Source organism: Homo sapiens, chromosome X, assembly GCF_000001405.40.
Source record: "Homo sapiens chromosome X, GRCh38.p14 Primary Assembly".
In the NCBI taxonomy this organism is placed as follows: Eukaryota; Metazoa; Chordata; class Mammalia; order Primates; family Hominidae; genus Homo; species Homo sapiens.
In genome coordinates, this window is record NC_000023.11 from 42127164 (window position 1) to 42130045 (window position 2882).

The 2882-nt window shown below is 40.6% G+C and overlaps 1 annotated feature.

Moving 5' to 3' along the window:
* Nucleotides 1128-1177: an enhancer, noted in NCBI's record as "active region_29562". NCBI's record gives its function as "activates an Ori minimal core promoter by ATAC-STARR-seq in GM12878 lymphoblastoid cells {active_cell/tissue: GM12878}" and the evidence as "EXISTENCE:reporter gene assay evidence [ECO:0000049][PMID:35858748]".

Sequence of the window (2882 nt, forward strand, 5' to 3'; positions counted from 1 at the left end):
TCCCCAAGATTCATGTGAGCATTCTGGAAGTACCTACGTTAATAATCACCGTACTTCTAATTAGGAAAAGCTTTGCAAAGATCAGACTTTCCTGGTTTGTGAAGAGGAAAATCACAGTCAATGACCAGTCCAGGTGTCCCCAAACCATGTCCCTGCCCCCAGCTCTCTAGTGAACAGGAAAACCCATTCTTCACAGTGCAGAATAATAACCATTCTCCACTTTTTAGTCCCTAAAGGGGAGTTGACACCGAGAGTGGCTGGTGATGTTTATCATTTTATCTGCTTGCTGGTATCAGAGGACATACCAGTGGCTGGAAATGAAAGGAGTGAGGAGATCAGTGTAGTCCCAGAGGCCAATTTCAAGGCTCCTGGTGAGGGAGACAATAATCTCACCCCATTCTAAGTGAGCCTACATGTGAAATCCATATTTTTATATAATAGAAGGATGGTTCATCTCTTTACAAAAGGCATCTGCAGGGGACTAATCTGCCTATTGAGCTCCCCTGGGCCTTTTATTTGTGGTTTCATTTATTGAAAGCAAAGGCCTGTCTGGCATGCTGCAACGGTTCTCAAAATGATTCCAGAGTGTGGATATGTTGTTTCAATGAAAGCTTTTATGAAAGTTCAATATGAGACTCAGAGAGAAAAGGGATGCTCAGTTTCACTTTGGGGTTAGGGGCCTGTAATTGTAGATTCTTCTCTCTCTCTTCATCCCTCACCTTTCTTGACCCTTAAGGGACAGCAACATACTTTGTATAGCTCCTAAAATCACAGTTTGGAGGTCTCTGGGATGCAGTACAAGTTAGGAATGGGTCCTGCTGCAAGTGAGAAAAATCTGACAACAGTGGCTTAAAGAAGCAGGGAGTTATTTTTCTTTGCTTATCAAGAAATCTGGAAGTGGGCAACTGCTTTCTTTTCAGCAACCTACGCCCTTTCTCTATTTCTGCTATACTTAGTCTATTGACTTGTTGTCTTACGGTTGCAAAATAACTGCAGCATCCCTAGGGGTGACACCTGAGTTCAAGGCAAAAAGAAAGTTGAAAGGAAGTATTTTTTTTTTCTCTTCTGAGGTTCTGTATTTTTCTTGGGCAGGAGGGGAAATTACACATTACCAGAAGACTGTCCTTTAGATCTCATGAGACAGAAATAAGTCACAGGCCCATGGCAGACCAATACAGGCCAAAGGATATGAGAAGATCACTTAGTCCAATAATGATTTATCCCCTGGGGCTGGCAGAGGGGCTCTTCTTTTCTGAAATCACAGGTTTTCCACCTGTGGGTTTTTTTTTTTTTTTAAAACAAATCAGGATTTTATGAGCAGGGAAGTAGGAGATGGGGAAGGATAGAGGGATGGGCAATTGGATAGGCAACAAACTGTGTATGGCAGAGCCAATGAGCCAGAAAACCTGATTATGAATTCTAACTTGGCCACTTACTGTGAAACGCTGGACAAGCCACTTGACGTGGCCTGGCTGCAGTGACTTTATGTATAAATTGAGAAAAGTGGAGGACAACATGAGTGCCAAGTTTCCTTCTCGTGCCAATATTCAATGATTCTGTGCAGTTTTAATAACTTCCTGAATGTTCATGGCTAAACCAAAACTGGTTTATAATTGAAACAGCTGCCCTGATGGTGCTGTTCTGTTTCCAAGAACTGGCTGCTTGCACTTTCATGCAGTAAATTATGCGCTGCAGATTTCAAAGAAATTCTACCTCCCCACTTTTTTTTTTTACCTTTGAGGAAAAAAATCAGCTCTCCATTTCCTCCTCTTCCCACATAGTTAAATTCTGTATTTGAATAGTACAGCTTTCTTCCATCTAATTCTTATTTAGCTTTTCTTAATAAAAGAAGAAAAAAACCTTGCTGTTTGGCATAAAGCTCCTTCTAAGTAACAGGAAATTATTATTAGCCCTCTGATTGATTGTCCAATATTAAATGAAAGTAGTTGTCTTTTAAAATATACAATTGCAATTAGTGTTTGGCTGTATGGTGTATACAGTCTTCACCAATTGCTAACACAGGTAAAAAGTGAGGGTTCCAATCGGGTGATGTACCTGTGGTTAGCACATTGTCTGGCTTTTGCTAATTACTCAGTAAATGTTTTTTGAATCAGTGAATTATGATAAGACGTAAATGAGCCAGAGTAGGCTAGGGCAGAATTAATTCCTCAGAGTTAGATTCTCATAGTTTTAATATCCCTGATGTCATTAAGGAGGGCATTGGAAAAGACCTTGCTTAAGATATTTGATTGATAGCTTATATTATTTGTACATTAGTGGATGTACAAAAGGATGTCAGAAATAGTGCGGCATGCCAGTTCATTCATTGACTATTAATTGAGTGCCCTCTTGCTGCCAAGCACTCTTCTAGGTAGTGCCATACTCCAGTGAACAAGAGAGACAATGGTTCCTGTTTCCCTGGAGCTTGCACTGCAATGGAGGACACAGACAATAAACAAGTATGCAAAAAGTATTTCAAATAAGTTCTATGAAGAAAATGAAATGGGGTAATGTGACAGTGAGTGGGTGGACAGAGAGCATTAGCTAGGGCAGTCATAGAAAGCTTCTCTGAGGCTACTTTCATGACACTTGAGCTGAGACCAGAAGGGAGCTAGTCATGTGACAGTCTGGTAGAATAGTGTTCTAGGCAGATAGAACAGTAAGTACAAATGCCCTTAAGTGGAAATAAGCATGGTGCATTTGAAGACAAATAAGAAGGCCAGTGTGGTGCAAGTTCAATGAGCAAGTATGGGGCAGTAGGAGGAGATTAGTTAGGAGAGGTGACCTGTGTAGAACCTTATAGAACAAGGACATCATTATTCTAACTGCAATGGAAATGTATTTCAGATTTTAAGCTGAGGGAGGACATGATCTGCTTTAAA